Source organism: Homo sapiens, chromosome X (assembly GCF_000001405.40).
Source record: "Homo sapiens chromosome X, GRCh38.p14 Primary Assembly".
In the NCBI taxonomy this organism is placed as follows: Eukaryota; Metazoa; Chordata; class Mammalia; order Primates; family Hominidae; genus Homo; species Homo sapiens.
Genome location: NC_000023.11, coordinates 145,863,460 through 145,876,474, shown reverse-complemented (window position 1 = coordinate 145,876,474; position 13,015 = coordinate 145,863,460). Strand labels below are relative to the sequence as shown.

The following is a 13,015-nucleotide window of genomic DNA, read 5'->3' as shown; positions in this document are numbered from 1 at the left end:
TCTGCTCTATAAATTTGTTTCAAGGAGAAAAGAAGAACTGTCCATCAGGGGAAAAATACTTCAAAAAGATAAGCAATCTGGTCTTCCGATGACAACTCTTCTGGTGAACTACTAATGAAAAATAATGACTGAGGATTTCTTTGTACAAAATAACCATGTTTGTAAAGCTGGGCAAATTATCCTATTTTCCAAAACTACATTCACATACAAACACACACATATACATACACACAGTTACGTGTCAACTGATGGCAAGATGCATTCTGAGAAATGTGTCTGTAGGTGATTTCATCATTGTACAAAGATCATAGAGTGTGATTACACAGACCTACATGGTATAGCCTACTACACACCTTGGCTGTATAGTATAGCCAATGCACCTAGGCTGTAAACCTGTACAGCATGTTTCTGTATGGAATACTGTAGGCAATTGTAACTCAATGGTAAGTGTTTTTGCTTCAAAACATATGTAAGCCTAGAAAAGGTACAGAAAAAATATGTTATAGAAGATAAAATATGGTACACCTGCAGAGGACACTTGAATGGATCTTCCAGGACTGAAAGTTGCTCTGGGTGAGTCTGTGAGTGAGTGGCAAGTGACAGTGAAGGCCTAGTGTAGACTTTATAAACACTGTACACTTAACACTGTTTATATTAAAAATTCCCTTCTTCATTAATAAATTAACCTTAGCGTACTGTAACTATTTTACTTTATAACCTTTTAATGTTATTTAAGATTTTGACTGTTTTGTAATAACACTTGGCTTAAAACACAAACATATATGAATGTACAAAAACGTTTTCTTTATATTTTTATTCTATAAGCATTTTCTATTTAAAATATTTTTATATCTTACATTTTTGTATCAAAAACGAAGACACAAATACACCTATTAGCCTGAGCCTACGTAGAGTCAGGATCATCAGCGTCACTGTCTTCCACCTCCACATGCTGTCTCACTGGAAGGTCTTCGGGGCCAATAACATGCATGGAGCTGTCATCTCCTATGATAACAGTGCCTTCTTCAGGAATAATTCCTGAAGGACCGGCCTGTGGCTGTTTTACAATTAACTTTCATTTCTTTAAGTAGAAGCACACTCTAAAACAAGGATAAAAAGTATAGTATAGTAAATATATAAACCAGTAATATAGTTATTCATTATCATTATCAAGTAGTATATACTATACATAATTGTATGTGCTATGCTATGACATCATTAGATCACAGAAATTTTTAGTGCTATTATAATGTTATAGAACCATCATCATATATGCAATCTGTCATTGACCCAAATATTGTTATGGGGCACAACACTGTATATAAAACTATACACACACACACACACACACACACACACACACACACACACACTCATCTATAGCTATATACATATAACTGTAACTAGTTACATATATCATGTGTATTATATAGAGAGAGTTATAATTATCCATGCTCTGTGTTCTAACAATTTACACTCAGTAAGTTAATTATATAAATTTCTGTCTCATCACTATATTATTTATTTTGCTGACCACTGGTGGACATCCATACATCTACCTGTGTGGGTATGCATGCACATATGTTTGTGTTTCTCTGAATAATGGTAAACAAATGCAGATAGTTGTAATCATTAGACATGGTGATATGGTTTGGCTGTGTCCCCACCCAAATCTCATCTTGAACTGTAGCTCTCATGACCCCCATGTGTTGTGGGAGGGGCCCAGTGAGAGGCAATTGAATCATGGGGACAGGTCTTTCCTGTGCTGTTCTCGTGATAGTGAATAAGTCTCAGGAGACCTGATGGTTTTATAAAGAGGAGTTCCCCTGCACATTGTCTCTCTTGCCTGCTGCCATGTAAGACATCCCTTTGCTCTTCCTTCATCTTCTGCGGTGATTGTGAGACCTCCCCAGCCATGTGGAACTGTGAGTTCATTAAAACCCTTTCCTTTATAAATTACCCAGTCTCGGGTATGTCTTTATTAGCAGCACGAGAACAGACCAATACACACAGTTTAGAGACAAGCATTAACTCTTGGAAAGGTGTCACTAAGGTGACATAAGTTGCTTTTCATAATGTGCAAAATTATTTCTATTTTACTTCGCCCAGCCTAATTAAATCCTCTCCCTCTTGTGGTACTAGAAGTAGCGTCAATAGCATCTCCTACCTGGAGCTCTAGAGCATTAAGCTAAGGGGAGTAGCCAAGTTGAGAGTGCAGAGGCCTGAATGAGATCTGACAAGTGAAGGAATTGCATGCTTTGAGTAGGCAAATTAAGAAAACCTTAAGATAGGCTTGAAGGAGTGCAGTATAAAGCAAAGGGCTTCAAGTCCTGAGAGTATCAAGGGAAAAAATAAGTCAAAATGGATGAGGATGAGGGCATAACAATCTGGAAGAATATTGGTAATAAGATGCCTTTAACCTTGGATCAGTTTTCCTTTTCCTTCAGCAGGTGGAAGTGTGGGTAGTTTTCAACAGTGCCTTAATTGACCCTGACTGTATCTACCACCTTTGATAATGGAAAGTTGTCTGCATTAGGCTTCCTTGCTTTTATATTATAACCAAAGAATCTATGCAAAGATGCCCAACTATGGAAGAGACTCAACATATTTAGCAATTATTGGGTATGACCTCCTAGGATTTGCTTCTGAAGAATCACATCAAGTGGTCCAGAATAGAGCCTTTAAATGCTTTTTTGAAATCCCCAAAGTAGAAGGGCAAGATGGCTAACTAGACACAGTCAGGAGGAGCATCTGTCACGGAGGGACAGAGACATCGGGGAGACTGGTGCACTCCTAGTGGATCTTCAGAAGGAAGGCAATGAGAGTGGACAGAGGGAAGACACACATGCTGGGCTGAAGGGGGAGGAAGCTGGAAACCTTGCACAGGGCTACTGTGTACCAGGATTCCTTCCTGGCCCCAAATGACTCCTGGGGAAGGGGTGAGTTACACAGGAAAGGAGCAACCTGCGCTCGCCAAAGGCCTCTGGAATCCTGGCAGAAGGAGATCCCACAACCACCACAGACATTTGAGTAGGCAGGGAGAGCTGCTTAGAGAAGAGGTAGGGGCAGAACTCCAGCCGGCACACAGCCCAGAGAGGTTAGTGCAAGAGTGTCTGTAGTAGAGCATGGCCAGGGACACTGATCCCCCTGGGCTTGACTTGCTCTTATAGATTTCAGCCTTAAGGAATGGTCAGACCTGAATACTGCAGGGCAGTCTTGCTGATGAGATGGGGCCAATCAGACCTGAGCACCCCTTGGTCTGCTTGCCACTCCAGGGGCCCCAGCCTGTTCACGCAGGCTTGGATGCCAGGGGGGATACCTCCTAGGAGACTGAATCATAGCTCCTACTCTGGTGAGCTGTGCCTGACTGGCAGACAGCTCCAGCAGAGCGACCCCCACATACATGTACTAGCCTGCCCATGCCTGCCCTACTGAAGCCTCCCCTGAACCACTTTGCCTGCATATGCTCTCCCACAGCCACCTCCCACATCACTTCGCCAGTGCGTTTGCACACGGGCAGACTTGACTCTCCTTCCCTGCCAGCACGCATGCGCATGTGCACGCTGGTGTGTCACTGCTGCCAGCATGAGTGCACCTCAACTCCCCTTTCCCCACCACACTGCTATTGCCATTCGAGTGTTGGAGGGAACAGGACCCACAGGTACCCTGTTCCTGCACCAATACTGCCGTGGGTACAAAACTAGGCACAGGAAACAGCAGACTTGCCCCCGGCCTGAGCAGCCATCATCACCCAGATGAACGTGCACAGAGGGTGCACACAGTCCTGTGCCCACCAGTGCACTGCCCCCATGCTAACACCACCACCAGCATGAAAACATGCATAGTTGCCAGCATGGTCCCCCTTCCCCCTAGAGCCAGGCTCCCCCTGCTACTGCTGCAAATGCCCACATAGAGGCTGCCAGCCTGGCACCCACTAGCATCCTGCCACTGCTGACAAACGGGCACCCCACTGCACTGCTACTGCCACTGCTGCTGACATGTGCAAACAAGAATGTATCCTTCTGTCACTCCCCTACCAAATGCTTTGGCTGGCACCACCCACTTGAAGTGTTGTGACCAGTGGTCCGCAAACACCTTGACCCCTCAAGCACAGTAGGTTCTTAACATCGAGGACCCAGAGAACAAAGCCGGGGCCCAAAACAACTTCCCCATAGATAGAGCGTGCAGTCTAGGAGTCCTGAGCTGAGCCTTGCCCCCCTAAAAACTTCCAGAAATGAAGCCAGTCAACTAAACCCACCTTATAACACACTCAGACTCCCAAGGTCATCAAATAGAATTACAAAGAAAAAACATCCAAATGAGAGCAACTTCAAAGATTGAAAGAACATCAGTCCACAAAGATGAGAAAGAACCAGCGCAAGAATTCTGACACCTCAAAAAGCCAGAGTGCCTTCTTTCCTCCAAACAATGACACTAGTTCTCCAGCAAGAGTTCTTAACCAGGCTGAGATATCTGAACTGACAGAAATAGAATTCAGAAAATAGATAAGAACAAAGATCATCAAGATTCAGGAGAAGGTTGAAACCCAGTCTAAGGAAGATAAGAATCACAATAAAATGATACAATAACTGGCAGACAAAATAGCCAGTATAGAAAAGAATGTAACTGCCCTGATAGAAACACACTACCAGAATTTTAAAATGTGATCACAAATATTAACAATAGAATAGATCAAACTGGGGAAAGAATCTCAGAACTTAAAGAGTGGCTTTCTGAAATAAGGCAGTCAGACAAGAATAAAAAATAGAGAATGAAAAGGAATGAACAAAATCTCTGAGAAATATGAGATTATGTAAAGAAAGCAAACCTATGACTCATTGATGTCCCTGAAAGAGATGGGGAGAATGGAAGCAACTTGGAAAACATTTCAGAATATCATCTTTGACAACTTCCCCAACCTAGCTAGAGAGGCCAATATTCAAATTCAGGAAATGCAGAGAACCCTTGCGAGATACTTTACAAGAAGATGATCCCCAAGACACAGAATCGTCAGATTCTCCAAGGTAAAAATGAAAGAAGAAAATGTTGAAGACACCTAGAGAGAAAGGAGACGTCACCTAAAAAAGGAAACCCATTGGACTAACAGCAGACCTCTCAGCAGAAACCCTGTAAGCCAGAAGAGATTGGGGGCCTGTGTCCAGCATTCTTAAAGAAAAGGAATTCCAGCCAAGAATTTTATGTCCGGCCAAACTAAGCTTCAAAAGCAAAGAAGAAACAAGAGCCTTAACAGACAAGAAAATGCTGAGAGAATTAATTACCACCAGACCTGCCTTACAGGAGCTCCTCAAAGAAGCACTAAATATGGAAAGGAAAGACCATTACCAGCCACTACAAAAGCACACTTAAGTACACAGAACAGTGACACTATAAAGCAATCACAAAAACAAGTCTGCATAATAACTATCAAGCCATATGATGACAGGATCAATTTCGCGCATATTAATATTAACTTTGAATGTAAATGGGCTAAATGCCCCCAATTAAAAAGCACAGAGTGACAATCTGGATAAAGAAGCAAGGCTCAGCATACCATTGGGCCTTGCTTCTTCATCCAGATTGTCACTCTGTGCCTTTTCTCACCCATCTCACATGCAGTTACACTCATAGGCTCAAAATAAAGGCATGGAGAAAAATCTACCAAGAAAACAGAAAACAAAAAAGCAGGAGTTGCAATCTTAATTTCATATGAAAAAGACTTGAAACCAACAAAGATCAAAGAAGACAAATAATGTTATTACACAATGGTAAAGGGTTCAATTTAACAAGAAGACATAACTATCCTAAATACATATGCACCTGGATCACCCATATTGATAAAGCAAGTTCTTAGAGACCTTCAAAGAGACTTGGACTCCCACACAATAATAGTGGGAGTCTTCCACACATGACAGACAGTATTAGAGAGATCATCAAGGCAGAAAACAAAGATATTCAGGACTGGAACTCAACACTGGATTAAATGGACCTGATAGACATCTACAGGTCTCTCCACTCCAAAACAACTGAAGACACATTCTTCTCATTGCCACATGGCAAATACTCTAAAATAGACTAAATAATTGGACATAAAACAATCCTCAGCAAATGAAAAAGACCCAAAATCTACCAACCACTCTCTGAGACCACAATGCAATAAAAATAGAAATCAAGACGAAGAAAGTAGCTCAAAATCACATAGTTACATGGAAGTTAAACAATCTGCTCCTGAATGACTTTTGGGTAAATAATGAAATTAAGGCAGAAATCAAGTTCTTTGAAAATAATAAGAACAAAGATACAACATACCAGAATCTTTCATCCACAGCTAAGTCAGTGTTAAAAAGGAAATTTATACCACTAGACACCCACATGAAAATGTAAGAAAGATCTCAAATTAACAAGCTAACATTCCAACTAAAAACACTAGAAAAGCAAGAGCAAACCAACCCCAAAGCTAGCAAGAGAAAATGACCAAAATCAGAGCTGAACTGAGGGAGATTAAGACATGAAAAATCATTCAAAAGGTCAACAAGTCAGGAGTTTGTGTTTTGAATAAATTAATAAGATAGATAGACAGCTAGCTAGACTAATAAAGAAGAAAAGAGAAAAAATCTAAATAAACACAATCAGAAGCAACAAGGAGGATATTACCAGTGACCCCACCAAAATACAAATAACCATCAAAAACTACTATGAACACTGCTATGCACACTAACTAGAAAACCTGGAAGAAATGGATAAATTCCTGAACAGTACACACACCCTCCCAAGAATGAACCAAGGTGAATTTGAATCCCTGAACATACCAATAACAAGCTTCAAAATTGAATCTGTAATAAATAGCCTATCAACCAAAGACACCCAAATTCTACCAGATGTACAAAGAAGAGTTAGAACTGTTCCTATGAAACATTCCAAATAATTGAGGCAGAGGGACTCCTCCCCATCTCGTTTTATGAGGCCAGCATTATCCTGACACCAAAATCTAGCAGAGACACACACACAAAAAGAAAATTTCAGGTCAATATCTTTGATGAACACTGATGCAAAAATCCTCACCAATAATGCTAGCAAACTGAATCCAGCAGCACGTTAAAAAGCTAATCCACCACAATCAAGTAGGCGTTATCCCTGGGATCCAAGTTTGATTCAACATATGCAAACCAATAAATGTGATTCATCACATAAGCAGAACTAAAGACAAAAACTACATGATTATCTCAATAGATTCACAAAAGTTTTTTTATAAAATTCAACATTCGTTCATGTTAAAAACTCTCAATAAACTAGGTATTGAAGAAATATATGTCAATATAATAAGAGCCATAGATGACAAACCCACGGCCGGCTTCTTACTGAATGTGGAAAAGTTGGAAGCATTACTTGTGATAACCAGCACAAGATAAAGATGCCCTCCCTCACCACGCCTATTCAAGATAATATTGAAAGTCCTTGCCAGAGTATTCAGATAAGAGAAGGAAAGAAAGGACATCCAAATAGGAAGAGAGGATGTCAAATTTTCCCTGTTTGCAGATGACATGATTTGATATCTAGAAATATCCATAGTCTCAGAACAAAAGCTTCTTAAGCTGATAAACAACTTCAGTAGTTTCAGGATACAAAATCAACGTAGAAAAATCTCTAGCATTCCCATATACCAACAACAGCCAAGCCAAGAGCAAAATGACGAATGCAATCACATTCACAATTGCCACAAAAAGAATAAAACACCTAGGAATACAGCTAACCAGGGAGGTAAATGATCTCTACAATAACAATTACAAAATACTGCTCAAGGAAATCAGAGATGACACAAACAAATGGAAAAGCATTTCATGCTCGTGGATAGGAAGAATCAATATAGTTAAAATGGCCATACTTCCCAAAACAATTTACAGATTCAATGCTATTCCTATTATATTACCAATGACATTCTTCATAGAACTAGAAAAAAACTATTTTAAAATTAATATGGAATGCAAAATGATCCCAAATAGCTAAGGCAATCCTAAGCAAAAAGAACAAAGCTGGAGGCATCCCATTACCCAACTTCAAATTATATTACAGGGCTATAGTAACCAAAACAGCATGGTACAGGCACAAAAACAGACACATAGACCAGTGGAACAGAAGAGAGAGCCCAGAAATAAGGCCATACACCTACAACCATCTGATCTTTGACAAAGCTGACAAAAACACGCAATGGGGAAAAGACTCCCTATTCAATAAATAATGCCAGGATAACTGGCTAGCCATATGCAGAAGATTGAACCTGGACCCCTTCCTTACGACATACACAAAAATAAACTCGAGATGGATTGAGGACTTAAATGTAAAACCCAAAACTATGAAAACCCTGGAAGACAACCTAGGCAATACCATTCTGAACATAGGAACTGACAAAGATTTCATGACAAAGACAGCAAAAGAAACTGCAAGAAAAGCAAAAATTGACAAATGGGATCTAATTAAACTAAAGAGCTTCTGCACAGCAAAAGAAACTATCAACAGAGTAAATAGAAAACCTACAGAATGGGAGAATTGTTTTTCAAACTATTCATCTGACAAAAGTCGAATATGCAGCATTGTAAGATAATTAAACAGATATGCAGAAAAAAAGCATTAAAAAGTGGGCAAAGGACATGAACACTTTTCAAAAGAAGACATGTGTGGCCAAGAAGCATATGAAAAAAGCTCAATATCACTCATTGTTAGAGAAATACAAATCAAAACCACACTGAGATATCATCTCACACCAGTCAGAATGGCTATTATTAAAAAGTTAAAAAATAACAGATGCCGGTGATGTTGCAGAGAAAGAGAACACTTATACACTGTTTCTAGGAGTGTAAATCAGTTCAACCATTGTGGAAAGTAGTGTGATGATTCCTCAAACAGCTGAAAACCGAATTGCCATTTGACCCAGCAATTCCATTACTGGGTATATAACCAAAGGAAGTAAATCATTCTACCATAAAGACACATGCATGTGAATGTTCATTGCAGCACTATTCACAATAACAAAGACATGGAATCAACCTAAATGCCCATCAGTGACAGATTAGACAAAGAAAACATGGTACATATATATCATGGAATATTATGCAACCATATAAAAGAACAAGATTATGTCTTTTGTGACAACATGCATGGAGCTGGAGGCTATCATCCTAAGCAAACTAATGCGGAAACAGAATATCAAACACTGCATGTTCTCACTTATAAATGGGAGCTAAATGATGAGAACACGTGGACACATAGAGAGGAACAAGGCACACTGGGGCCTACTGGAGAGTGAAGAGTGGGAGGAGGCAGAGGATCAGAAAAAAAAAATCTGTTGGGTACTAGGGTTAATACCTGGGTGACGAAATAATCTGTACAATAAATCCCCATGATGCAAGTTTACCTATATAACAAACCTTTATGTGTACCCCTGAACCTAAAATCAAAGTTTTATTAAATAAGAAAATCCTCAAAGTCTCATAATATTGAAACTATCTCTACATCTCTACTCTGTGTTATTTTAGAAACAACATATCCCAAGTATTAAAGCTTTACAACATACCTCCCAAATTAATTTTCAAGGTCCCAGGGAGAGAAGAGTGTATTCAGAACTAAGGTCGAGAAATTACAAATTTTTTTGATAAACAACTCACTTAACTGGCCATGCAATCAAACATTTTGTCCTGAGAAATTAAGCATATTTCAGAAAATGCTTTCATATAATCTTAAATATGTTTTTGTAAGGACAGTTTATGATGTTCTCCCCTAAGGATGCATTCCTCAGAACATATCTCCATCGTTAACTAACACATGACTATATGTGTGTGTGATATATATACCACACACACACACACACACACACACAGAGAGAGAGAGAGAGAGAGAGAGAGAGACAGAGAGCCTCCACGTGCATGCAAGAGAGATTGGTATGTTCAAAAAGTTTTAGAAGTGATTAAACTTAACCATTTGAGGAAAAGTAGCAAGTCTAAAATTAAATTATCTTTGGAAACTCCTTAAGTTGCCTCCAAAAGTACAGTTCAGCACGTCTTTCAGTAATTCCAGCATAGCTAGTTTTTCCTTCAGTGTTGATGTGGATTGTTTCTTCATTTGGTCATCAGATAAATTAATTGGCTTGTCTTTAAGGCCTATATTAGCAGTCAGGGTTCTCCAGATAAACAAAACTAATAGGGTGGTGAGAGAGACAGAGGCAGAGAGAGAGAGAGAGAGAGAGAGATTGTGATTCATTGTAATGAATTGGCTTATGCAATTATCGAGGCTGACAAGTCCCAAGAGCTGCGATCAGCAATCTGGGGACCCAAGAAAACCAATGATGTAGATTCAGTTGGAGTCTAATGGCCTGAGAAACAGGAAAGTTGGTGGATGGTTAAGTTCCAGTCTGAATGCCAGCAAGCTCGAGATCCAGAAAAAGCTAATAATGTTTTAGATCAAGTTTGGAGGCATGACACAAAGATGTCCCAGCTCAAGGCAGGAGAAACTCCCTCTCACTCAAGGAAGGGTTGGCCTTTTATTTTATTCAGGCCTTTAACTGATTGCACGAGGACCACCCACATTAGGAAGGGCCATCAACCTAGCCATTCAAATGTTAATCTCATCCAAACCACCCTAACAGGCACACTCAAAATAGTGTTGGACCAAATACCTGGGCACCCAACGGCCCAGTGAAGTTGACCCATAAAATTAACTATTGCAGGGACGATGTTGAGTAAAAATGAAGAATCTTTTAAACTCTTGAATCACACTCTGCACAGAGAGATACGCGTGTTTCAAAAGTCACAGCACTAAGATTCCGAAAATATTCGACTCAGGTGCACCATCTACTGAGTTCATTCTGGGGACATAGGCTTGCAAAGTTTACTTATGAAGTAAAATGTCATGAAGATTTACCCTCATCATTTTAATTATTCTTGTTTTCTTCTGTTCATTCTTTCATTCCCTCTCCCTCTCCTCCTCCCCCTGTCACCCACCATCCCTCCCTCTTTCTCTCTTCCCAGCCCACATGTTTACAATTTAAGTTAAATGCACATATGGTACATCCTTGCTATGTATGCTTCTCCCATTTCTTGCTATTGCAACAGGATGTTGAATGGATCTTTTCTGTACGACTTTAGAACTTTTGGTTAATGGTTAATGCGCCAAATCTGAGGACATTGGGTAATAAATAACTCCACCTTCTAAAGAGTATTTGCTAGACACGTTCCCATAAGGCTTACCAAAGTGTGGCTAACAGGTCTTGCAAGCCTGCTCATTGCTACCAGCCTGTAGAGAGAGAAGACTAGAAATTTCTGAATTCATTAAATTAGGTGCATCCATTTAAGTGGGGGAGAATTAATAGCAGGAAGAGGTAGGCCTGTTGGTGCGGGGGTATGGTTTTACACTTTTCCTTCCTCGATCCTCAGCCCAGGAAAAGGGCTCTAAGACAAACACTTAGAACCGTTGGGGCTGTCTGCAACTGGGGAGGCTTATATATGATTCCCTGGCTGGATGTTTGCTAAGCTACAAGAAGCATCACCCCTTGCCCCCACGTTGACATCAGAGTGAAACATAATAGAATAATTCTCGGGAAACTTGATACGTGTCTTTAAAAATGTGAACATAGACACTTGTGTTTGCTTCTCACCTGAATGTTGTTTGGCACTGCTTGTAGTGGCAGGATGAAAAGAGAGTGTCAGTGGGGCAGCCTTCACTTTTCCTACTTGGCATTTCAAGAATTTGGAGTATTCTTCCCAAACTAGTAGATGCCATAGAAGGGAGCCAGGCTTGAGCCATCTTGCTTCTTATCACAGTCTTCTACGGAAATGGGACCCGGGATATAGTGTCATGGGGAAGAACTGAGTGGGTTCACAATGTTTTTGCCAGAGTATACTTTGCTCACATTTTAAGGAACCATGTAGTGCTGAAGACCCTACAGTCAATTTTCTGAACAGTCTATAAATGTTTCCAAAAAGGAACTAGCATTTGGGTCACTAGCCACACAAGGAATTTACAGCTAAATAAATAGTCATTCCTCCTTTCTCTCAACCACCTCTCTCAACCTGATCCTGGGGAAAACTGGAAAATAACAAATGAAAAGCAAATAACTGAGGCTACTTCTCCATCTCAGTTTCAGGTGCCTAAGCCACAGGTCAGGCCTGAACTTGGAGAGGGGGATGAGTGCAGGAAATAGAAGTTTTGTATTGGAAGTGAGATTGAAGTTTTGATTTGGACTGGGATGGACATTCAAATCCCTGAAAACGTGTCATGAGGCTTTTTGTAGGTGTAACTATGTAGGAAAAAACAATTCTATGGAAGCTATGCTTTCAGTGGTGGGGCAGGGAGATCCATAAAAGCAGGGTAGGGAATAGTGCTGGAAGAAGAATGAAGTCATTTCCTATTTGTGCCTTACCAATTTCAGTCCATTCAATAAACTGGTATCAGTTTTGTAGTAAGGTCTGAAGTATATCAGGGGATGGGAGAGGTTTGTGAGAGAAACTGACTGTAGTCTGTCACTCTGATTTACTGGGGGAACATTATTCAGAGTGAGAATCCATTTCAGCCAGTCTGGAGAGTAGGCTTCATCATTTAGATGCACTTTTAGGGAAATTATTTTCCAGCCTCTTTGAAAAACCATTATCCAAAGTTTAGATTACTTTTGGGGAATATTATTGGATTACAGTCTTTGAACAATGGCTATGACACATGGTCTGAGATTTGCTGTGAGTTGATGGAATGCCTGTGAGGTCCCACCATTGAGATCATTCATGCCATCCAAGCAAACAGCCCTTAGAGTCTAAAGCAGAATACTTTAGTGCCCTTGGAGGCTTTCAGGTGAGGAACAAGAGATCTGGAGGACATAGTGCTGGTTGGTGGGTCAGAGTACAGAGCTGGGTTCAGCCTCCAGAAAAAGCAGCCTAGGTCAGGCTCTGCATTCTTTTAGGTCCTCAGCAGGTGTGGATTATGATAAAGCTCCAAATGCAATAAGAAAAATGAATTATTTATCTGGAAAAGAAGTGGA

The 13,015-nt window shown here is 40.2% G+C and overlaps 1 long non-coding RNA gene across 1 annotated transcript in view, besides 1 other annotated feature; it reads right to left on the bottom strand.

The window, feature by feature from the left end:
- Positions 1 to 828: 828 nt before the first annotated feature.
- LOC107985703 (uncharacterized) overlaps positions 829 to 13,015 on the bottom strand; it is a 31,957-nt gene continuing 19,770 nt past the window's right edge. Inside the window, exon 3 of the long non-coding RNA XR_001755968.1 lies at positions 829 to 1,100. This is a non-coding gene — a long non-coding RNA (uncharacterized LOC107985703). The remainder of the gene's footprint in view (positions 1,101 to 13,015) is intronic.
- Positions 10,317 to 10,845: an enhancer, noted in NCBI's record as "OCT4-NANOG hESC enhancer chrX:144947148-144947676 (GRCh37/hg19 assembly coordinates)". NCBI's record gives its function as "activates a minimal SCP1, AML or CMV promoter by ChIP-STARR-seq in naive H9 embryonic stem cells {active_cell/tissue: H9 hESC(naive)}" and the evidence as "EXISTENCE:reporter gene assay evidence [ECO:0000049][PMID:30033119]".